The sequence below is a fragment of the Homo sapiens genome, chromosome 11 (genome assembly GCF_000001405.40).
Source record: "Homo sapiens chromosome 11, GRCh38.p14 Primary Assembly".
Lineage (NCBI taxonomy): Eukaryota > Metazoa > Chordata > Mammalia > Primates > Hominidae > Homo > Homo sapiens.
The window spans coordinates 5,957,946-5,983,753 of NC_000011.10; the positions used below are offsets into that span (position 1 = coordinate 5,957,946).

General features: G+C 39.1%; 2 protein-coding genes across 2 annotated transcripts in view; one reads left to right on the forward strand and one right to left on the reverse strand.

The window, feature by feature from the left end:
- The window catches only part of OR56A3 (olfactory receptor family 56 subfamily A member 3), a 79,760-nt gene that overhangs the window by 15,695 nt on the left and 38,257 nt on the right, over positions 1 to 25,808 (forward strand). The window lies entirely within an intron of this gene.
- OR56A5 (olfactory receptor family 56 subfamily A member 5) lies at positions 9,608 to 10,549 on the reverse strand. Its single transcript, NM_001146033.1, has one exon. It carries the CDS (start codon positions 10,547 to 10,549, stop codon positions 9,608 to 9,610), a length of 942 nt encoding a protein of 313 aa, NP_001139505.1.

The window sequence follows — 25,808 nt, forward strand, 5'->3', positions numbered from 1 at the left end:
AAGTGGTGGCCAATGTGGACAACCTTCTAAGTATTTTTGTGTGTTTCAAGAGAAATTGTAAATAATTTAAAACTGTCCAATTTCAAAAAAGAGAAGGAAATAGTGATAATGACATGACAAATTGTAGAGGTATATGTAGCAAATCTGTGAGCATCCATCCCTCAATGGTTGATTTGAGATCTCTTTTTTTTCTATTATCTCTTCATGGATAGCCTATAATCTTTTATTTTGAAGAACAGTACTTTTAGTCTGCATTGATTCCAACTAGACTATAAGCCAACTGTCAACATCTGATATGAGGCAGCAAAACTAAGATTTTAATAGATGACTGCAAACAAGGAACAACTGAGGGTGCCATAGCATAACACCATGAGACTCAAATAGGAAAGGATTTTATAAAAGAGGCTACACGAGAAATTCCACTGGAGACTAAGAATGACACATGGAGTAGGGCTGTTACCTCTCTGAAGTGAATGATGTATAAAATAATGAATATCCTCTACTTTTCTGTTTTTTATTGTTCACTTATTACAAGTAATAAGAATAAAAGCAGTCTTTCTAAAATGGACAGTGTATGTATTTTTCATGTACAACAGGATGTTTTGAAGTATATATGCATTATAAAATGCTTGAATCTAGCTAGTTAACAAATGCATTACTTCAAATAGTTATTTTTATGTTGACTATGGCATGACCTCCACTCTCTTTGGGCTTTTCAACAATACAATGTATTATATCATTATTAACTATAGTCAACATGCTGTACAATAGATCTCTTGGACTTATTTTTTCTATCTAATTGCAATTATGTATCCTTTGACCAATCACTCTTCTAATGCCCTCCTCCTCCCTGATCACCTCATTTGTGGTAATAGCCTTCTAGTCTCTACAAGATCAGCTTTTTTAGATTCCACATATAAATGAGAAAATGTAATGTTTGTCTTCCTGTGTCTGGCTTATTTCACTTAACATAATGCCTTCCAGGCTCATACATGTTGTCGCAAGTGAGAAGATTCCATTATTTTTGTGGCTGAATAGTATTTCATTAAATATACATACCACATTTTATTTTCATTAATCTATGGATGAACACATAGGTTAATTCCATAGGTTGGCTATTGTGAATAGTGATGCAAAAAACATGAGACAGCAGCTATCTCTTCAACATATGATTTTCTTTCCTTTGGATATATACCCAGTAGTGGGAATGCTAGATCATATGGCAGTTCTATTTAATGTTTCAAGGAACTTCTGTCCTGTTTTCCACAATGGCTTTACTAATTTACATTCCCACCAACAGTGTGTAAGCATTCCTTTTCTCCACATCTCCACCAATATTTGCTATTTTTTGTGGTTTTTTTGTTGTTGCTGTTTTGTTTTCCTTTTTGTTTTTATAATAGTCATTCTCAAAGGAGTAAGGTGACATCTCATCATGGTTTTGATTTGCATTTCCCTGATGATTACTGATATTAAGCATTTCTTTCTTATACCTGTTGGTCATTTTTCTGTCTTCTTTTGAGAATGTCTACTCAGATATTTTGCCTGTTTTTTATTATTTGTTTCCTTGCTATTGAATTGTCAGAGTTCCTTATATATTTTAAACATTAATCTTTATCAGATATATATTTCACAAATACTTTCTTCCATTTAGCTCTTCATTCTGTTAAGGGAAGATTGTTTCTTCACTCTATTGATTGCTTTCTTTGCTGTACAAAACTTTTTAGTTTAGTAATACCATTTGTCTATTTTTACTTTTGTTTTCTATGCTTTTGAGGTCACATCTAAATAATCATTGCCCAGATCAATGCTGTGGGATGTTTCTCTTATGTTTTCTCTAGTAGTTTCAGAGTTTGGGTTCTCATATTTAAGTCTTTAGTTTATTTTGAGCTGAATTTTGTAGATGGTGAGAGATAAGGGTCTAATTTGATTCTTCTGAATATGGATATTCAGTTTTTCCGATACTATTTATTGAAAAATCTCCTTTTCCTCATTGTGTGTTATTGGCATCTTTGTTGAAAATCATAGATTTTAAATGAATAGATTTATTTCTGAGCTCCCTATTCTGCTCCAGTGGTCTATATGCCTGTTTTTATGCCAGTACCGTACTGTTTTGATTATTATGGCTTTGTAGCATAGTTTAAAATAAGGAAGTGTGATGCCTTCATTTTTGTTTTCTTTCTCAAGATTGCTGTGGCTATTCAGTATCTTTTGGGGTTCCATATGAATTTTAGAATTTTCTATTTCTGTGAAGACTGTCGTTGGTACTTTGAAAGAGATTGCATCCCTCTCCCCCTCCCCCTCCCTCTCCCTCTCCCCTTTGCACGGTCCTCGTCTCCCCTTTGCATGGTCTCCCTCTGATGCCCAGCTGAGGCTGGACTGTACTGCCACCATCTCGGCTCACTGCAGCCTCCCTGCCTGATTCTCCTGCCTCAGCCTGCCGAGTGCCTGGGATTGCAGGCGCGCACCGCCACACCTGACTGGTTGTCGTATTTTTTGGTGGAGACCGGGTTTCGCCCTGTTGGCCGGGCTGGTCTCCAGCTCCTGACCGCGAGTGGTCTGCCAGCCTCGGCCTCCCGAGGTGCCGGGATTGCAGACGGAGTCTCGCTCACTCAGTGCTCAATGTTGCCCAGGCCGGAGTGCAGTGGCGTGATCTCGGCTCGCTACAACCTCCACCTCCCAGCCGCCTGCCTTGGCCTCCCAAAGTGCTGAGATTGCAGCCTCTGCCCGGCCGCCACCCCGTCTAGGAAGTGAGGAGCGTCTCTGCCTGGCTGCCCATCGTCTGGGATGTGAGGAGCCCCTCTGCCCGGCAGCCCAGTCTGGGAAGTGAGGAATGCGTCTTCCCGGCCGTCATCCCATCTAGGAAGTGAGGAGCGTCTCTGCCCGGCCGGCTGCCCATCATCTGGGATGTGGGGAGCGCCTCTGCCTCGCCGCCCCGTCTGAGATGTGAAGAGTGCCTCTGCCCGGCCGTGACCCTGTCTGGGAACTGAGGAGTGTCTCTGCCTCACCGCCACCCTGTCTGGGAGGTGAGGAGCGTCTCTGACCGGCCGCCCCATCTGAGAAGTGAGGAGCCCCTCCGCCCGGCAGCCGCCCCCCGTCTGGGAATTGGGGAGCCCCTCCACCCGGCAGCCGCCCCATCCGGGAGCTGGGGGGCAGCCCGCGCCCGGCCAGCCGCCCCGTCCGGGAGGTGGGGGGCAGCCCCCGCCCGGCCACCGCCCAGTCTGGGAGGTGGGGGGCCCCTCTGCCCGGCCACCCCGTCTGGAAAGTGAGGAGCCCCTCTTCCCCGGCCGCCACCCCATCTGGGAGGTGTACCCAACAGCTCATTGAGAACGGGCCATGATGACAATGGCGGTTTTGTCCAATAGAAAAGGGGGAAATGGGAAAGGAAGGAGAGATCAGATTGTTATTGTGTCTGTATAGAAAGAAGTAGACATAGGAGACTCCATTTTGTTCTGTACTAGGAAAAATTCTTCTGCCTTGGGATGCTGTTGATCTATGACCTTACCCCCAACCCTGTGCTCTCTGAAACAGGTGCTGTGTCCACTCAGGGTTAAATGGATTAAGGGCGGTGCAAGATGTGCTTTGTTAAACAGATGCTTGAAGGCAGCATACTCGTTAAGAGTCATCACCACTCCCTAATCTCAACTACCCAGGGACACAAACACTGAGGAAGGCGGCAGGGCCCTCTGCCTAGGAAAACCAGAGACCTTTGTTCACATGTTTATCTGCTGACCTTCCCTCCACTATTGTCCTATGACCCTGCCAAATCCCCCTCTCCGAGAAACACCCAAGAATGATCAATAAATACTTAAAAAAAAAAAAAAAAAAGAAAGCGATTGCATTGACTCTATATATAACTTTGGGTGGTATGGACATTTTAACACCATTATGTTGTTTCCATATAGGGACAATTTAACTTCTTTCTTTCCAATTTGCATGCCTTTTATTTTTCTCTTGCCTAATTGCTCATGCTAAGACTTCCAATATTAGTAAAGAGAAGGGGTGAAAGTGGGCATCCTTGTCTTGTTCCAGATCTCGGAGAAAAAGCTTCTAATTTTCCTTGTTGAATATGCTAGCTGTGAATTTGCCATATGTAACCTTTATTATGTTGAGGTAAACTTCTTCTATACCTAATTTATTAAGTTTTTATCATAAATGGAGTTTAAGTCTTGCCAAATGATTTTTCTACATAGTGAAATGATTCGATGATTTTTGTTTTTCATTTTGTTAATGTGATGTATTACATTTAATTGATTTGCATATGTTGGTTAGCATTTATTCTTGCATCTCTGGATTGGATCTCACTTGATTGTGGTAAATGGTCTTTTAATGTATTATTGAATTCAGTTTGCTAATGTTTTTAAAGATTTCTGCATCCATTTTCATCAGGGATGTTGGCCTGTAGTTTTCTTTGTGTGTGCGTGTTCTCATCTAGTTTTGGTATCCCGGTAATGCTGACCTCTTACAATGAATTTTGGAGAATTCTCTCCTCTTTAATTTTTTGGAATAGCTTGAGAAGAATTGATGTTAGTTCTTCTTTAAATGTTTGGTATAATTCATCAGTGAAGCCATCAGATTCTGGGCTTTTCTTTTTTTTTTTTTTTTTTGAGACGGAGTCTCTCTCTGTCGCCCAGGCCAGACTGCGGACTGCAGTGGCGCAATCTCGGCTCACTGCAAGCTCCGCTTCCCGGGTTCACACCATTCTCCTGCCTCAGCCTCCCGAGTAGCTGGGACTACAGGCGCCTGCCACCGCGCCCGGCTAATTTTTTGTATTTTTAGTAGAGATGGGGTTTCACCTTGTTAGCCAGGATGGTCTCGATCTCCTGACCTCATGATTCACCCGCCTCGGCCTCCCAAAGTGCTGGGATTACAGGCGTGAGCCACCGTCTGGGCTTTTCTTTAGTGAGATACTTCTACTACTATCTTTATTTCATTACTCATTATTGGTCTGTTAACATTTTCTATTTCTTCATAGGTTCCTGTAGGTTTTATGTGTCCAAAAATGCTTCAATTTCTTCGAGATTAACTAATTTGTTGGTGTGTAGTTGATCAGAATCATTTCTCATGATACTTTGTATTTCTGCGATATCAGTTGCAGTGTCCCCCTTTTCATCTCTGATCTTATTTAAGTCTTTTCTCTTTTTTCTTAGTTTAGCTAAAGGCTTGTTAATTTTATCATTTTAAAAAACCTCCATTTTGTTGATCTTTTATATATTTTTCTAGCCTACATTTTATTATTTCTGCTATTGTCTGTAATATTTTCTTCTTTGTGTTAATACTGGGTTTAGTTTGCTTTTATTTTTCTATTTCCTTGAGGTGCAACATTAGGTTGTTTATTTGAGATGCTTTTTCTTTATTCATGTATGTGTTTATTGCTATAGCCTTCCTCTTAGAACTGCTTTTTCTGTATCCCACAGGTCTGTAGTAATGAATTCCCTCAGCCCTTATTTGTCTGGGAGTCTTTATCTCTCCTTCATTTTTGAAGGAGAGCTTTGCTAGGTATAGTATTCCTGGTTGGCAGATTTTTTGGTGTTTTTTTTTAAATATATTTTTCACTCAGCACTTTGAATATATCATTCTACTTTCTCCTGGCCTGTAAGGTTTTTGCTGAGAAGACTTGCTAGACATATTGGAGCTTCTTTATATGTTATTTGCTTATTTTCTCTTGCTGCTTTCAAGATCCCCTTTTTGTCTGAGCTTTGACAGTTTTATTATAATATGTCTTGGAGTAGTCTTAGGTGTATTGAATCTCATTGGTGATCTTGATCTTCTTTTACCTAGATATTTATATCTTTCCCTGGGTTTGGAAAGTATTTTGCTATTGTTCCTTTAAATAATATTTCTACCCTTTTATCTTTCTCTACTCACTCTTGAATGCCAATAACTTGTACATTGTACATTTCATCTTTTGATGCTATCCCATAAACCCCATAAGCTTTCTTTATTCTTTTTAGTTCTTTTTTTCTCCTCTGTCTATATATTTTTCAATAACCTACTTTTCAATAACCTTTCTGTCTACAGATTCTTTCTTCTGCTTCAGCAATTCTGTTGTTGATGCTCTATTATATTTTTCATTTTATTCATTGTAATATTCAGCTCAGCATTTCTGATTGATTTTTATATTATTCTTTCAATTTCTTTGTAATATTTTTTATTTTGGTTACTTATTATTTTCCTTATTTTCTTGAATCGTTTCTGTGTATTTTATTAAAGTTTATTAAGCTTCCATAAAATAGCTGTTTTGTATTTGTTATCACTCAATTTATACATCTCCATGTCTTCAGGGGCAATTGCTGGCACCTTACTTTGTCCATTTGGTGATGTCATGCTTCCCAGATTGCTCTTGATCCTTATGGTTATAAGTTGATGTCTGCCCATTGAAAAGGTAGGTAGTTATATCAGTCATCACAGTATTGCTTTGTCTGGGAATATTTTTCAACAATAAGCCTGTCCAGAGATTTTGAACCAGTCATCTGGTGTGGTCCCTAAGCCTGTAATCCCTGCAGTCATTGAAGACCTGGGGGTACTCTAAGCCTATGATCTGCACTGGCCAGTGCAGCAGTGGGTTGGAATTCCATGGCTTCTGAGGCTGGTATAGTGCCAGGCTAGAATTCAGTGGTCCCTTCTGAGGCTGGCACAGCATTGGGGTGCACCCAAACTCATGGCCATTCAGATCTGCATGTAGTTATGGGTTATTTGGAGTCCAAGGCTACTATAGTCAGCCAGTGGTGATGCAGGCCAGAATTCAAGTCCATCTCACACATGGCTACGGGTTTCTATCTGGCACTGAGGCAGACCTAGAGGTTCAGTTTACAGATATTGGCATGTAGGTCTCTCTGGTGCTGGGTTTAACTGTGGCATGGCCCAGGATTGAGGTCCAAGCAAAGTCCAATGCTTACTTATGTGTCTTTCCCCTAAGATAGTATCTCTCTCTTTGCACTGTTCCCTGATGTTGGGGGAGGGGTAACGTGTAAGGTAAAATTGTCCTTCCTACCTTCTTCAATGTGTCTTTTCTTATCATTATCTTAAAACCAGGTACTGTGATCACTCACCTGGTTTTCTTAGCTCTTGTAAAGGTATTTAATGCATGGATAATTGTTCAAATTATCCATTTCCTATGGGAGGAAAAAATTATCCATTTCCCATGTTCTTATAGGAGAATGGTCACTAGAGAATCCTATTCCAATATTTTGCTCCACTTTCCTCCCAAATAAAAAGAAGACATTTGAGAAATCAACGTGCATTAGAAAATAATAAAATTAGTCTCCACATGTAAGTTAACAGCATGTTTTAGGCTCTGGTTAAAAAATGTTTTATAAATTAGGTCATCCAGTTTATCCAGCAAACAGAAATCAAATAGTAAGGGGATAATTAATTATTACTCTTCTTAAATGAGAAAATTAGAACTCATATTGAGATTGGTGAGTCAAAAGTAACACATCTTACCCGTGGCCAAATCAGTATGCCTGGAACATAAATAAAAATCAGTGTTATCCCAATAAGCAGGCTTAGGTTCTATGGTAGGTAAGATTGCATTGAACTGTGAGTTATATAAGGCTTTTTGTAAGTATCTTTGGAGAATACATTATATTAATAATTTGATTCTTTCCCTAAGAAGGGAAAATAAGAAAAAAATAAGAAGATGTGCACACATAATATTCACTTTTATTCATCAAAATAACTAAATATGTAAAGCATTATATTAAAGCTCTAGAATATACAAAGTTGAAGAGATGAATAAAACTCTTCACCAGACTCAGAGGAGTTTATAATCTACTACCAAAGGGAGATACACACATGACTCAAGAAGGTCAGATTAATTCCATTGGGGTAAATAAAGGATGGGTTTGTGGAGTAGGTGGAGTTTAAACTGAGACTCATAAGATGGGCATAATTTTCCAAATGAAAAGAGTGGTGTTGTTTTTTATGTGGAAGAGGATACTGGAACACAGACTTTAAGAAAAACATATAGGAGGGACATAATGTTAAAAAAAATGAGCTGGGAGCTGACCTGCATGATAGGTAAACAGAAGAGTGAAAAATTTTGTATTTTGATTAGGATCAGTCTTTGAAGTTGAGAAGGAGGGAAGATAGAAATCAAAACTATTGTTTTGGTGAAAGACAATACTATAGAAATAATAAATTGGGCCAGTCGTGGTGACTCACACCTGTAATCACAGCACTTTGGGAGGCTGAGGCAGGTGGATCGCTTGAGCCCAGGAGTTCAAGACCAACCTCAGCAACATGGTGAAACCCCGTCTCTACAAAAAAAAAAAAAAAAAAAAACCGGGCATGGTGGTGCACACCTGTAGTCCCAGCTACTTGGGAGGCTGAGGTGGGAGAATCACTTAAGCCTGGGAGACAGAGGTTGCAGTGAGCCAAGATCATGGCACTGAACTCCAGCCTGGGCGATAGAGTAAGACCCTGTCTCCCTATCTCAAAAAAAGAAACAAGAAAAGAAAAGATAAACTGACTTATAAGTCTTCCAAGAATAATTTGATTATCATAGATTAGGAGACATTCCGAAATGATTCAAAAATAATATCTATGAAGTGCTCTATTACTAACCAAAAAGGGGCCTAGCTACTAAATGTTACTTAATCCCAGGAAATATTGGTCAGTATATAGGTCCTACCTATATACTGATCAGAGCATGATCAGGATAAAAATTGCAAAGTGTAAAACATACTTATCCTTGTTCTAAAAACTCACTAATTCAGATGTCTGGATCCTATGGGAAGCTATGCTGGCCAGGGACAGGACATGAAGATTGAGACAAGAGGACTGAAAGTAGGATGAGAAAGACGGTTTAACTGTATATCTAAGACAAATAGGAAAGAGTAGGAATAAGATGGTGTCAGAAATCTGATGGAAAAGTCAGGTAGGATAGTATGAAGTCAGAAGTTGGTAAAATATATCTTAAAAAAGGACACACAGATTCACTTAAAGCAACACACACACACACACACACACACACACATAAATATGAGTCATTTTAAGATGTAAAAATCACTAGGAAAAAAAACTATAAGAAATTCACACTCCAAATAAGTAGCATTAGATAAAAATATTAACAAGATCTGTCAAGGACAGAGGAGGCAGTGAATGTCACATGTTATTCACTCTACATAAGAATCAAAGTTCTTGAGTCAACATCTATATGTCCACAAGAGATCCATTCATGGCAAAAAAAAAAAAAATTATTCACGTTGAGCTGAGTCAGGGAAAACCAAGACATCTAACACATATGTATGTATTAAACAATACAGGAATTGAGAAACATTTAAAATAATTGGAATTATATTTATCCTTTGTTTGAAAACCATACAATTCTAAGCTCCAGTGATTATGGCTTGTCAATTCGTACTCACATAGATGAAGTCAAGAAAAACTTCCAAACAATTCTAGAATGCCAAAACACTAAGATTCCAGTCAGTGAAACAGAAAGCAGGATCCAACGAGTAGATATCCCTATAATCAATTGAAACACTGAAGAAAGCCAAGTCTAAACTTATTCTCGCAGTAACAATTTAAATTTTCTATGCATCATAACAATTATTCTCCAATATCAATTTCTGTTTTCAAGGTCAGGTTGCATTCATTTTATTTTTTACAACCTCCTCAGCAGGTTCTGGATTCCCTGCTTGATCTCCTTGGTTCTCACACCATAAACAATGGGGTTCAGAGCTGGGGGAATAAGGTGGTGCAGGATGTTGAGCAGGATGGGGACATCCGGAGGAATTCTCTTCCTGGCCAGGTTAGTGATGACCAGAACCAGCAGGACTGTGGTGAAGAAGAGGATGAGGATGAAGTGGGAACCACAAGTACCTAGAGCTTTGGCCATATCTCCCTCACCCTTAATCCTTAGCACAGTTTTCAAGATAAAAAAGTAAGAGAGAACAATAAGGATGAGGTCAGAGCCCAGCAGGGTCCAACCTATAACAAACTGGTAGCTCTGATTCAAGGTGATGTCATCACAAGAGAGTTTAGACACAGACACGTTAGTACAGATGCAGTTCTTGATGATGTGTCCTGCACAGTATCTGAGTCGAGAAGAAAGTATGGGGATAGGCATAGTAAGAAGGCCATTCCTGGCCACAACAAAGATGGCAGCCCTAGCGACAAATTGATCAGTGATGATGGATGAGTACTGTAGGGGCTTGCAGATGGCCACATAGCGGTCATAGGCCATGATCATGAATGTGCAGGACTCCATAGTCAGAAAACTGTTCATGATGAACACCTGAAGGAAGCAGGCAGGGAAGCTGATTGATCTGAGGTCAAACCAGAAGATGGCCAGGACCTTGGGGATGACGGTGAGGCAGAGTACGATGTCCAGCAGGGAGAGGAGGCTGAGCAGGTAGTACAGGGGCTGGTGCAGAGAGGCTTCCAGATAGATGGTGATCAGAAGGGTGGCATTGGCCCCCATGGCCAGGAGGAAGAGGAGGCTGAGGGGCAGAGACAGCCAGTGCTGCCAGCTCTGGAAACTGGGGAAACAAATGAGGAAGAATTCAAAGACTGGGGAAGTGGAGTTGTTGCTGGGTAATGTCATGAAATAAATCCTCAGCTGAGAAAATTTCACCTGAAATTGTGTTTGATAAGACACAGGAATTAGAAATAGAAAACAAAGCTGTTAAAATATTTGCTAACATTTTCTAATTTATAAAATGTATGAGATACAGATGACCAATCCCAAATGAAGGCAAAGTTTAGTAAATATTAACATAAATAGTGAAAGGTTTAGTAAATTATTTCTGAAGTTAATTTAGAAAAGCAAATAGACTAGACAAAGGTTTAGAAGGAAAATGATTTAAAAAAACCTCATTAAAACATACTGTAAAATACAAAAAAAATTCCAAATTATACTGACAAAGCAAATTGAATAATTATAGATCCACAGGCTAGAAACACTCATAAGTTTACAGAGTAATCTAGAATTAATAAATATGTCATAAAATAATTTAATTGCAGGGTCCTTTCAGTAAGTAGTGCATAATTTGTTAGATGGGGGAAAATAATTATTCCTCTCTTTTTATTACACACCAAAGTACATTTGAGATGGAAAAAATATATAATATACTCCCAACCCTATTACAAACCTGAGGAAAATAAAAGCAAATATTGATTAAATATATAGAGGAACTCCCAAACTCCCTATCACTCTGACATATGGTACTGTGTCACAACCCATCCTAGACATATTTAATCCAAGCCTGCACAAGTGCAATTCAATGTTCCTATAGAAAGATAGGCTCAAAGGTTATGCTGTTTTCATTAACATTTATAACCACTAACCTAAAATGAGAACTTAACACACATATTCATGACAATAACCTTCTCTGGTTAATTCATTCCTCTATCTGCTTCAAGCAATTTTCCATATTTTCTATTATTTTCAAATACTAAATCTCCTCTTCTCTCAGATAACCTCTCTAACTGCTTCATAAAGACAGTAGAAACATCAGATGCAAGTCCTCTACTTCCCATGATAGACTCATAAACTCATCAGCATCTACATCCTTGCTCTCCTTATTGCACCAGCAGAATCGAGGCTCTATCCCTTCTCTGAATGGCAATCCTTGACCTCACAATTTGATTCCATTCACCTTGACCTTTTTAGGAACCCTGACTTATGGATTATCCAGCCCATTGCCTATGTATTCAACCCTTCCTAAATCCTTCCCATGGATATTCAAAATGTTCAAGTCTCTCATATCTTAATTATTTTCTTCATCTATCCCACATCCTCATTTGGATAAAGACCATGGTTTCATTTTTTGGAGAAAAATACTAATCTATTTATTCTTCCTATTTCACACCCAAACTTAAAGGACCAGAGGAGGCAAAGGACATCTAAAAGGGGACAAGTGACTGTTGGCTTCAGTAGTCCAATTGAGAAGTGATCACTGTGTGAATAAATAGCTCTGAGGATGAGAAAAATGGGCATATTTTAGAGGTATAAATATAATGATAGTGATATAAAGACAGTGAGACTAGTTGCGTAGAAGAAGAGAGGGTAGAATTCTAAGACTGCACTATCTGTTCTGACTCAAATGACTAAGAAAGTTTCACGAAACAAAAAATAGCCTTTGAAAAGATTTGATATATGTTGTGGAGGCAGAGATTATGGATCCAGTTTTGACGTGTTGAGTTTATTGGATCTGTAAACTATCAAAATACATGTGAAATAAAATGTTAGAGAAAGCAATTTAAATTCATTTGAAAGTTAAAGAATTGGAAATCATCAACACATAACATATAGTTCAAACCATAGGACTTTAAATAGATATACTTATGGAGAATATATAAATTAAAGACAAAAAGAGCAAAAGAGGTAAAGAGATTGCAAGGAGACCTAAAAGGAATGAACAGAGACATAATTGAAAATCAAATGGAGTGGACAGATATGCTCACATGAAGAGTTTCAGTAATGTGAGAAAGAGATTATCCATTGCATTTGGCAATTAGGTAATCATTGGTGGTCCTAGCAAACAGTTTCATGTGAAGAGAGAAATAGAATGCGGGAGGACAGGGAGCCAGCAGGACTGGAATGAATGGACACAGGGAGGACTGATCACCTCATTGGAAATCTTCACTTCAACAAACAGCTTCACATGGAGGGAAAACTGAATGCACAGGTAGAACAGTATGTATTAATGCATAGATTTTTTTTTACAAAAAGCAATGTGAATACATTTAAACTGAGGGGCAAAAGACTAGGAAGAAAAATATTGGTGATAAAAAGGAAAAAAAAAAAGATAAAGCAACAGCCCTGGGGAGACAACTACTATTTCCATTTAAATACTGCACAAATCACACCACTGCCTAACTTTCTCTCCTTTCTCTCCCGAATCCACTATAAAATCTCTGAAGTACATATAATGTATTTTCTCTTTTTATTTCATGTTGTTTTTACAGTATCCAGAGCTTAGTAATTCTTAATAAATGCTTGTGAGGTAAATGTCTTAATTTGGGGAAGGCTGTTGACTTTTAAAGACTGAAATAAGAAAAAATAAAAAAGGAAAATATTAACCAAAGAAACAAAGGGAACTGATGTGGAAATTGAGGCAAGCCACGAGGAGAAGCTCAAGATAATAGCTGAATGAGCTGTGGGCCAGAGGTAGAGACAGTGACAGCACAAAGCTCTTGGGGAAGCTTGGGGAATCTTAAACAAGTCATTCACTTTTAGTGCCCTCTGGCCCCAAAGCCTGACACTTGGTGGGAGGGATACTCCTGATTCACCCCACTGACCTACTAGGTCATTGCCTTCATACATACAGCACCACCAAACTACCTTGTATTTCCTCCAAATGAAGAGAATGTCTTAGAGATCTTGCAATCCACCAAGGCAGAAAATATCCCAACACCCTAAAATATTCTCATTTCTCACCCTCTGCTCATTTTCTTTTCCTTAGTCCACTGTCGCTGAAAGATTCTTTCCTTAACTTGTGCTTTTTCCTGCCTCTTATGTGTAGTCCCCATCTACGATTGTGCTTTACAATTCCCAGACTCTGATCCATCCTCTTCAAGTCCTCATTCCTCCCTCACATTGTGGAGAATTATCTGATTCAATTCCTCCTCTGCTACCTGGATTTTACTAAGAAGACTGTACTTAGTATAAAGGATAAGAGAGGAGGGTATGACGAGGAATGGGAGTAGAGAAAAAGCGGTTAGATACCTGAACATACTGTCAGATGGAGTTATAGACATAAATATGAATCAAACTTTTGATATATTGTTAACAACTATTATAAAGGAACACTGCACTAACAGAAGTAACAGTGATCAGAGAGAAATGGATAACTTTTACTCTGCTTTGCTTTTGTTCAACTATGCTTTGAATATTGTGTCCAATTCAATGCACCTTGATTTAGGGACCACTTCTGAAACTGTACTACACAGAAAAAAGTACCCAGGATAAAGAAGATACTAAAAGCTCATTACAAGAAGTAGATATTTTAACCAAGTGAAGCCTTCCAAAATATATGACTGACCTTCAAGGGGAAGAAGAAAAAACTAGGGCTATTAGGGAAAAAAAGTCACAAGGAAGTCTGTTTCTGCTGGCTATAAATCATGTCTAATAATGAGAGGAAGCTTTTTCTCTCATTAACACTGGAACTTGTTGGGAGAAGGCAATGAGCACATTTCCTCACCAGCTTTTGCCCTAAGCCTCTTGGACTTGTGTCATAATAAACTCAAAATGCTGTCCCAGAACCATTCTTTTCCTCTTTTAAATCCCTAGATTGCTATTTCTGGGCACACATGCATGAAGTTCTCAGCCACAGAACACATGGGTCCCTTGTATGCAATAATATGAGATTGCTGAGACTGCAGAAGAGGCTTCCAGCAGGAAACTAGGATTCCTAAATCTTCATGCATTCGGTATCAGAGCCCATTGACTTTTTCTTCTTTTTTCATGGGGATTAATATAAGCATGAGGAGAAAGTCTCCTGTTGAGTCCTCTGGTGACCCAGGGTCTCCTGGCCCAACACAGCATTGCTCCCCTCCCTTACCCCTGAAACTCACAGAGGATACAACAGATTAGGTCCTGCTTGAGGAATCTACTGCCTGCATCCAGTAACCAGAGCTGAGACTGCTTCCGAATCTAGAGGGTTTTATGATCTACGGTCAGTTCCTCACACTGTCCCATCCCCTTCTCCAAGCCAGCTGGGAGCAGTAGTTTGGGATACTGGGACCCAGCAGCTAAGTTAAAGGTTCCCATGAGAGCCAGGCTGGAGTGCGGTGGCGCGATTTCGGCTCACTGCAATCTCTGCCTCCCAGGTTCAAGCAATTCTTCTGCCTCAGCCTCCCGAGTAGGTGGGATTACAGGCGCCTGCCACCACGCCCAGCTAATTTTTGTATTTTTAGTAGAGACAGGGTTTCACGTCAAGAAATCCGCCTGCCTCGGCTTCTCAAAGTGCTGGGATTACAGGCATGAGCCACCGTGCCCGGCAGGGAACAGGATTTAAATATGAGAGAGAATTCAATTCTGCATCTGACTACTTGACTACACAGACCATCCTCCTAAACATTCTCTTATTCTACATTAACATCATAAGATGTTATATTGACAGATTTCCTTGTATTAAAACTTTTCAGAATTTCTTAAGAAACCTACAAGATTTCCTTCTTTTTATAGTAACTGAAATTCAACTCCACTATTTGATATCTGTATGAATTTTGACAGCTAATTTACTCTATGTAATCTCGGTCATTAATAAATATTTATTTAAAATTATCAACTATATGTCCAGAATGAGATTAGTCACAGGGATAAGAGATTATGGTCCCTGCTCTCATCAAAATTTTATTATGGCAATTGCATTACATTATAGTATCAATAGCTTCCCATTGTTCATAAAATAAAACCAACTTTCCTAATATGGACTACTGAGAAATATATATGAACTGGACTGTAAGCTTCATGAGGACTAAATTCCTGTTAATTTTGTTCCCTATTAATATGATGTCTAGTACAGTGTTTACAGTGTGGTAGAATCAACATATTTTTGTCGAATTAATTCAAGATCATACATACTCTATCTCCTCCTTACTTCTCCAGTGTATTTAGAACCACCTTTTTTCAGTGGATGATTATTCCTGCCATAGTCATTGTTGAATGTCTCTTGGGGGTTTGTGATTATGAAGTTAAAGTGAAATCAGTCAGTTGATTTTTTTTTCCTTCACCTCCTAGGTCCAACCACAGAGAAGACGAACAGTTGGGTTTAATCCAGCATGTTCTTAATTTTCTATCTGACCACAAATCTCTTGTATTCTTTGACCTATTTTGTGGTTGAGCAGGCTGATCTCTATGGCCTAGTTCAACTGAGCTTTCTGAAATGACTTCCTGGCTTCCAGTTCAGATAATAGTAGCCACCTGAAGGAGATGAAAATATGGAGGGACAAGATTGGGTATTTATTATTATTCCTATCCTTTGCTTTGATACAGTTCTGCTAGTGGCTGCTTCTTTGTAGCCAGAGGTCCTATTGGGAAGCATATCTTCCAAAGCTCCAGTGCTTACTAAGTTTGAGGAATGTTGCTGCCTCTCCATTGCCCTTCAGGGCTGGGGCTGGTAGTGAGTTCCTGCTGTTGCTATCTCCTACGTGCTTCTTATTGATTCCCTTGACCCTGCCAAGACCTGTATAAATAGTCTCTTTATTAAACTCTTTTTTTTTTTTTTCGAGATGGAGTCTTGCCGTGTCACCCAGGCTGGTGTGCAGTGGCACGATCTCGGCTTATTACAACTTCCACCTCCTGGTTTCAAGCAATTCTCCTGCCTCAGCCTCCCGAGTAGCTGGGATTACAGGCATCCACCACCACGCCTGGCTAATTTTTGTATTTTTAATAGAGACGGGGTTTCACCATGTTGGCCAAGCTGGTCTTGAACTCCTGACCTCGTGATCCGCCCGCCTCGGCCTCTCAAAGTGCTAGGATTACAGGCATGAGCCACCGCACCTGGCCTCTTTATTAAACTCTTGTCAGTGAAATCCTTTTCCTGTACTGTCTGTTTCCTGCTCATATTGTAAATGGTACAGTAGTTAGTACCAGAAGGGTACTCAAGAATGGACACTTAACATGAGATGCTAGGATTCGGTTATTCACATATTGATGAGAATGTGGATAACTAACTTTCCAAGGCAAAATGGAACATTAAATGTAGCATGGAATGGCATCCCAATAATGCAAATCACCAGCAGTGTGTGTAGAACGACAGGCAGGTGGAGGACAAGGACCTATGGTGAGAAGGACTGTAGGCTGTCTGGGTGAAAATCCTAGCACCATCACTTACTAGCCATGGTACTCTGGACAAATCACTTTACCTCTCTGGGTCTCAGTTTTCACATTTAATATGACGATAGTAATAGTGACCTATTTTGTAGAATGCTTGTGAAGATTAAAAGAGTCAATATATAAATAGCACTTAAAACAGTGCTGAGCTTATAGTAAGCACTATATGAGTTAGTTACTATCAATTGCACTATTTTATATGAAACTGATTGATTTCTTTGTGTCCTCCACTTTTCTTTTTGGTAATGACTCCTCATATACTCTTCAGACTTTTTTCCTACTGGGAACCAACTGTAAAATATAAAGTTCTACCTCTTATGCCTGTTTACTCCACTAATATGTATTTTTTTCTCAGTATACTGTCATCAGTATAAAGAGAGAGTCCAGATCATATATTGTGGAGATAAAATACAAAGTCTGGGGCCTGGGCCTGGACCTGCTAGGAGTTCCTATCAGACAGCCTCTTAAGGCCAGGGCTTGTGAAAGAAGACATTCTTTAAGTTCTAGGGAACATGTGCACAACGTGCAGGTTTGTCACATATGTATACATGTGCCATGTTGGTGCGCTGCACCCACTAACTCATCATCTAGCATTAGGTATATCTCCTAATGCTATCCCTCCCCCCTCCCCCCACCCCACAACAGTCCCCAGTGTGTGATGTTCCCCTTCCTGTGTCCATGTGTTCTCATTGTTCAATTCCCACCTATGAGTGAGAACATGCAGTGTTTGGTTTTTTGTCCTTGCGATAGTTTGCTGAGAATGATGGTTTCCAGCTTCATCCATGTCTCTACAAAGGACATGAACTCATCATTTTTTATGGCTGCATAGTATTCCATGGTGTATATGTGCCACATTTTCTTCATCCAGTCTATCATTGTTGGACATTTGGCTTGATTCCAAGTCTTTGTTATTGTGAGTAGTGCCGCAATAAACATACGTGTGCATGTGTCTTTATAGCAGCATGATTTATAGTCCTTTGGGCATATACCCAGTAATGGGATGGCTGGGTCAAATGGTATTTCTAGTTCTAGATCCCTGAGGAATCGCCACACTGACTTCCACAATGGTTGAACTAGTTTACAGTCTCACCAACAGTGTAAAAGTGTTCCTATTTCTCCACATCCTCTCCAGCACCTGTTGTTTCCTGACTTTTTAAAACTTAAAGTATAATAATAATATTAAATTTAAAAAAAGAAATATAGAAACATCCACATTCTGCAAACCAATTTCCTTTCTAAATACAAAGAGAAACTTTAAGTAAAATACTAGGAAACCAAATAAATATGTTTTTCAATTAAAAAAAAGAAGACACTCTTAGTGACTGTAAAGGGGGCAGTTCCAGAAAGGAAGATGGTAGAGATACCTGTTGTCTTGGGCTTGTCTCTAGGAGCAGGAGGAAAGGAACTGGGAGAGGGAGAGGAAAAGGGAGAGAAGGAAGGAGGATGGGAGACAGAAAACAGGGAAAGAATAAAAAGAGGGAAGGAGGAAGGAAAAAGGATTAGAAGAAAAAGGAAAAGAAAAGGAACTTTAAGGAAAGAGAAGGAATAGGAAGTGAAGGGAAGAGAACAGAAGGGAAATAGGAAGGGGTAAAAGAAAAGAAAGGGAAAATAAAAGATGAAGAGAAAGGGAAAATGAAAGGAAAAGCTATCTTTTGAGAATTTCCAGTCACAATTCTTTCCTTACGGTGTTTGGTGGCTGGAATTCACATACCTTTTGTGTCCTAAAATCTATAAATAAATTGGTGTTTTGTTGGCTTAAAGTTATTTGTAACACTTATTTTACTATCCTTCTAATATCTAGTATAATCTGTAGTAGTAACACTTGTTCAGTCATCATTTTGATTACTTGTGATTGTTTTTCCTTCATAGTTCTTACTCGGGCTTTATTAATTTTATCAATCTTTTCAAAAAATCCAGTGCCGAGATTGGTTAATTTTTCTCTATTGTTTCTGTTTTCTATTTTATTGACTCTTCGCTTGTCTTTTTTTTCACCTTATATTTTAGGCTCATGGAGTATACATATGCAGGTTTGTTACATGGATAAATTTCATGTCGTAGGGGTTTGGTGTACAGATTATTTAGTCATCCAGGTAATGAGCATAGGACCCCGTAGATGGTTTTTTGACCCTCACCCTTCTGCCACCCACCACCAAGTAGGCCCCAGCGTCTATTGTTCTCTTCTTTGTGTTCATCTGTATTCAATATTCATTCCTGCTTGTAAGACAGAATATGTGGTATTTGGTTTTCTGTTCCTGCATTCACTCACTAAGGACAATGGTTTCCTGCTGCATCCATGTTGCTGCAAAGGACATGATTTCACATTTATGGCAGTGTAGTATTCCATGGTGTATATGTAACACATTTTCTTTATCCAACCCACTGTTGATGGGCATCTGGGTTGATTCCATATCATTGCTATTGTGAATAGTGCTCCAATGAACATTCAAATGCATGTATCTTCATCGTAGAACTATATATATTCCTTTGGATATATATCCAATAATGGGATTTCTGAGTCAAATTGTAGTTCTGTACTATGTTCTTTGAGAAATCTCCAAACTGCTTTCCATAGTGGCTGAACTAATTTACATTCCCACCAGCAATGTATAAGTGTTCCTATTGCTCTGGTATCTTGCCACTATCTGTTACTTTTTGGCTTTTTATAATAGCCATTTGACTGCTATAAAATGGTATCTCATTGTGGTTTTGATTTTCACTTCTTTAATGGTTAGTGATGTTGAGTATTTTTTCATATGCTTGTTGACCACAGGCATGTCCTCTTTTGAGAAGTGTCTGTTCATGCCATTTGCTCATTTTTTAATAAGGTTGTTTGGGTTTGTCTTGTTGATTCATTTAAGTTTCTTATGGATTCTTGATATTAGACCTTAGTCAGATGCATAGTTTGCAAATATTTTCTCCTATTATGTAGGTTATCTGTTTACTGTATTGATAATTTATTTTGCTGTGCAAAGTTCTTTTGTTTAACAAAGTCCCACCTGTCTATTTTTGATTTGTTGCAATTACTTTTGGAGTCTTCATCATAAAATATTTGCCAGGGCCTATATCCAGAATGATATTTCCTAGATTTTCTTATAGGATTTTATAGCTTAAGTTTTATACTCAAGTCTTTAATTCATCTTGAGTTGATTTTTTGTGGTGATAGGAAGGTGTCCAGTTTCAATCTTCTGCATTTGGCAGCCAGATATCCCAGCACCATTTATCGAATAGGGAAACTTTCCCCCATTGCTTGTTATTGTTGACTTTGTTGAAGATAAACTGGTTGCAGGTATGCAGCATTATTTCTGGGTTTTGTAATCTTTTCCATTGGTCTGTGTGTCTATTTTTGTACCAGTACTATGTTTTTTGGTTACTGTAGCCCTGTAGTACAGTTTGAAGTTGGGTAATGTAATGTTTCCAGCTTTGTTCTTTGTGCTTAGGATCACTTTGGCTATTCAGGTTCTTTTTGGTTCTATATGAATTTTACAATAGTTTTTTTCTGATTCTGTGAAAAATGTCATTAGTAGCTTGATAAGAATAGTATTGAATCTCTAAATTGCTTTGGGCAGTATGGGGAATGTTTTAACAATATTGATTGTTTCTATCCATGAGCATGGAATGTTTTCCCATTTGTTTATGTTGTCTCTAATTTCTTTCAGCAGTGTTTTGTAATTCTGGTTGTAGAGATATTTTATCTCCTGGTTATCTGTATTTCTAGGTTTTTTATTTTTTTATTTTTTGTGGCTATTGTAATGGGATTGCATTCTTGACTTGGTTCTCAGCTTGGATAGTATTGGTGTGTATAGGAATAGTACTGATTTTTGTAATTGATTTTGTGTCCTGAAATTTGCTGAAGTTTTTTTTAATCAGATTTAGGGGCCTTTAGGCAGAGAGTATGGGGTTTTCTGGATATAGAATGGTATCTTCTGTGAAGAGAGATAGTTTGACTTCCTCTCTTCCTATTTAGATGCCTTTTCTTTCTTTTTCTTGCCTGATTGCTCTGTCCACGACTTCCAGTAGTATGCTGAATAGGAGTGGTAAGAATGGGCATTCTTTTCTTGTTCCATTTGTCAAGGGGAGTGCTTCCAGCTTTTGCTCATTCAGTATGATGTTGGCTGTGGGTTTGTCATAGATGGCTTTTATTATTGTGAAGGATGTTCCTTTGATGCCTAGTTTGTTGCAGGTTTTTAACACGAAGGGATGTTGAATGTTATCAAAAGACTTTTCTGTCTATTGAGATGATTACATGGTTTTGTTTTTAGTTCTGTTTGTGAGATGAACCCCATTTATTGATTTGCATATGTTGAACCAACTTTGCATCACAGAAATAAACCCTATCTGATCATGGTGGATTAGCTTTTTGATGTGCTGCTGGATTTAGTTAGCTAGTATTTTTTTTTTTTTTTTAGGATTTTTGCATCTATGTTCATTAGGGATATTGGCCTGAAATTTTCTTTTTTCATTGTGTCTCTGCCAGACTTTGGTATCAAAATGATGCTGGCCTCATAGAACAAGTTGGGAAGTCACTCCTTCTCAATTATTTGGAATAGTTTCACTGGGATTGGCACCAGCGCTTCTTTACACATCTTGAAGAATTCATCTGTGAGTCCATATGATCTAGGGCTTTTTCTGGTTGTTAGGTTTTTTTTATGACTGAGTCAAATTTGGAACTCAATACTGGTCTGTGCAGGGTTTCAATTTCTTCCTCATTTAATCTTGGAAGGTCGTATGTTCCAGGAATTTATCCATTTTTTCTAGGTTTTATCATTTGTGTCTGTAGAGATGTTCATAATAGTCTCTGAAAACTTTCCGTATTTTTGTGGAGTCAGTAGTAATGTCCTCTTTGTCATTTCTGATTGTGTTTATTTGGATATTCTCTTTTTTATTATTAGCCTAGCTGATAATTTTTCTTTCAAAGAAAAACGTTTTGGTTTCATTGATCTTTTGTATAGTTTTTTGCATCTCAAATTCATTCAGTTCACCTCTGGTTTTGGTTATTTGTTTTCTTCTGCTAGCTTTGGGGTTGTTTTCTTCTTGTTTTTCTAGTTCCTCTAGGTGGGAAGTTAGGTTGTTAAACTTTTGATGTGAGCATTTAGCACTATATGCCTTCCTCTTGACATTGCTTTAGCTGTGTCCCAGAGATTCTCATATGTTATATCTCTGTTCTCATTAGTTTCAAACAATGTATTGATTTCTGCCTTAATTGCATTATTTACCCCAAATCATTCAGGAACAGATTGTTTAATTTCCATGTAATTGTATGGTTTTGAGAGATCTTCTTGGTATTGATTTCTATTTTTGTTGTGCTGTTATCTGAGAATGTAGCTGGTATAATTTCAATTTTGTTTAATTTATTGAGAATTGGTTTATAGCTGAGCATGTTATTGATTTTAGATTATGTACCCTGTGCAGAGTAGCAGAATGTATACTCTGTGGTTGTTGGGTGGAGTGTTCTGTAGATGTCTCTTAGGTCCATTTATTCAAGTGTTGAGTTTAGATCCTGAAGATCTTTGCTAGTTTTCTGCCTCAGTCATCTGTATGATACTATCAATGGGGTATTGAAATCTCCCATTATTATTCTGTGGTTATCAAAGTCTCTTTGTAGGACTCTAAGAACTTCTTTTATGAATGCTCAGTGTTGGGTGCATATATATTTAGGATAGTTGAGTCTTCTCGATGAATTGAACTCTTTATCATTATGTAATGCCCATCTTTGTCCTCATTGATCACTGTTGGTTTAAAGTCAGTTCTGTGTGAAATAAAAATAGCAATGCTTGCTCTTTTTTGTTTTCCATTTGCTTGATAGATTTTTCTCCATTCCTTTGCTTTGAGCCTATGAATGTCATTGTATGTGAGACAAGGCTCTTGAAGACAGCATATAGTTGGGTCTTGCTTCTTTATCCAACTTACCAAATTGAACATTTTAAGTGGGGTTTTTACCCCATTTATTCTCAAGGTTAATATTAATATATGCAGATTTGATCCTATCGTGTTTTTAGTTGGCTGTTATGTAGACTTGATTGTGTACTTGCTTTGTAGTGTCAATAGTCTATGTACTTAAGTGTGTTTTAGTGGTGGTCAGCAACAGTCTTTCATTTCCATGCTTAGCACTTCTAAGGCAGGTCTACTGGTAACAAATTTCCTTATCATTTGCTTGTGTAAAAAGGATTTTATTTCTTCTTTGCTTATGAAGCTTAGTTTGGCTGGATATGAAGTTCTTGACTGGAATTTCTTTTCTTTAAGGAGAGTGATAATAGGTCCCTCATCTCTTTTAGTTTGTGAGGTTTTTTGCTGAAAGAACCACTGTTAATCTGATGGGCTTCCTTTTGTAGGTGGCCTGCCTCTTCTTTCTAGCTGTCTTTAATACATTTTATTTCATGACAACCTTGGAGAATCTGGTGAATATGTGTCTTGAGGATGGTCATCTTGTAGAGTATCTCACTGGGGTTCTCTGCATTTCCTGAATTTGAATGTCAAACTCTCTACTGAGGTTGGGAAAATTTCATGGAGAATATCTTCAAATGTGTTTTCCAAGTTGCTTGCTCCCTCTCCCTCTCTTCCAGGGATGTCAATCAGTCATAGGTTTGGTCTCTTAACATAATTGCATATTTAATAAAAGTTGCATTTATTCCTTTTTATTCTTTTTTCTTATTTTTGTTTGAATGAATTGATTCAAACAGTAATCTTCAAGCTCTGAGATTATTTCCTTAGTTTGTCTATTCTGCTGTTAGTATTTCTAATTGTACTACAAAATTCCTGTAGTGAATTTTTCAGCTCTATCAAATCAGTTTGGTTATTTCTTAAAATGGCTATTTGTCTTTCAGCTCTTCTATCATTTTACTGGATTCCTTAGATTCCTTGAATTAGATTTCAACTTCCTCCTGAATCTCTGTGATCTTTGTTGCCATCCAGATTCTAAATTCTATGTCTGAGATTTCAGCCATCTCAGCCTGGTTAAGAACCATTGCTGGGAACTAGGTGGTCTTTTGGAGGTAAGAAGATACCCTGTCTTTTTGAGTTGACAGAGTTCTTATGCTGGTTTTTCCTCATCTGTATTGGCTGGTGTTCCTCTAATGTTTGGATTTGTCCTTAGGATGAGGCTTTTTGCTTTTATATTCTTTGGCGCCCTTAAGGGTTTCACTGTGGTGTAAACTGGATTCAGTCAACTAGCTTCATTTATGGATATATTCAGGGGGCCATGGTTCAACTCAGCACTCCTGGGTTGTGTGCTCTAACCCTGAGGAGCTGGGACAAGGCCCATGGCTGTGTTCTCTGGCCCCTCTAAGCTAAGCACCTACTGCACTGGAGGAGCCAAGGTGTTCTCCGTCCCGTGGCAACAACAGTCCAGTGGAGGGTGCTGCCAAAAGTGCTTCATCAGGGAAGTGGCAGGAGAGTCCTCACTTACACGTGTGTTCAGGCAGTGTCAGGGCAGCACATGTGCTGGCAGTGGCAGAGTGATGGCATGGTGGCAGTGGCAGTGCAATGACAGTGGTAGTTTAATGGCATAGTGGGGTCCACGCATACGTGTGCATTGGCAGTGGAAGGGTGGTGACGTTGAGGTTTGTGTACGTGTATGTGCATTGGCGATGGCGGGGTGTCAATGTCTGCATGACTCTAGCAAAGCAGTGGGGGCAGGGTGCAGGTGAGTGCATGTCAGCAGGGGTCGGGGGGCTTCTGCCAAAGCTCTCTGACAATTAGGTGGAGTCTGCTAGTGAAGGAGCTATGGCAGTTGCCACTGGGAAGCTCCCTGGTTTGGCAACTGAGGCTGTGATGAAGCACATGGAGCCATGCTGGGACCCAGAAAGAGGCTGGCAGACAGGGCAGCACTCAGATCAGACTTGCCTGGTCGCACAGGCAAGATATCCCTGTTCTCTACAGGGCCAACAGTCAACAAGGTCAAAGCCACCTAGAGGAGCATGGCAAGCCTTGGGGGATGGGTGTCTCTGTGTTCCACTGCAGCCAGTCCCATGCCAAACCCTCTGGGCTCCACATAGACTGGAGTCCCGTTCCTTCCATGTCTCCAAACACTTCTCCCTGATAGCTCAAATGTTTATGGGGGTTGTGGGGTCCCCTGCAGCTAGGATTCCAGAGGTACATGGAGAGTGGGCCACACATTGCCTATTTAATTCACTCCTTCCCCAGGAGCCACTCAAGGCCAGAAATGAGACCTGGTGCTCAGCAACCCCATGCAGGATTTCCAGCTTCCTCCTCTTTCAGCCCAGCGTCTGTGTCCTCCCTCAGTCTGCTCTCAATTCCTCCCTTCCAAAGATCTGCCCAAAGTGTTGTCAGTATTCTTGATGGTTTTGTCTCTTGGTGGGAGAAGCTCTTCCTGGCTGTGTCTAGTCAGCCATATTGGCTCTTCTCTATTCTGCTCTCATCACTATGAATACCTTACTCTTGTTTACCTTGGACTTAATTTATTGTTCCTTTTCTAAATTCTTAAGTTGTTAACTTAGATAATTGATTTTACAACTTTACTCTTTTCTAATATAGGCATTTAAAGTATAAATTTTTCTCTGTTTTCTCTTTGGCTACATCTCACAACTTTTGCTATATGTACTTTTCAATCAGTTTGAAATATTTTCTGACTTCCTCTGTGATTTCTTAGTTGATCCATGGGTTATTGAGATGTATTTAGTTTAGTTTCCAATTATTTAACTCTTTTCATGCTACCTTATTGTTATTGTTTTCCAATTTAATTCTGTATTGGTAAGAGACTATGACCCTGCACACATACTAAAAAAAAAAAAAAATCTCCTGCCCCTGCTCCCCATGCCTTTCTAAACCCCCATGTGACATTAGCAATAAGCCCAAAGTTCCCTCACCCAAAGGATGAGAAGGCTCCCTCATACTGCCTATTAGAACAAAACTCATTCTCTACACTTTATACTTCCACAGAGGAAGGCTCTTCTTCCTCTCCCCACAAGGGGGACATATGGGAGTGAATACTTCTCTCTTCTCTCCGGTTTCTTCTCTCCTTTGCTTGCTTTTCCATATGGGAAGAAGGGTCACTAATACAATTGGG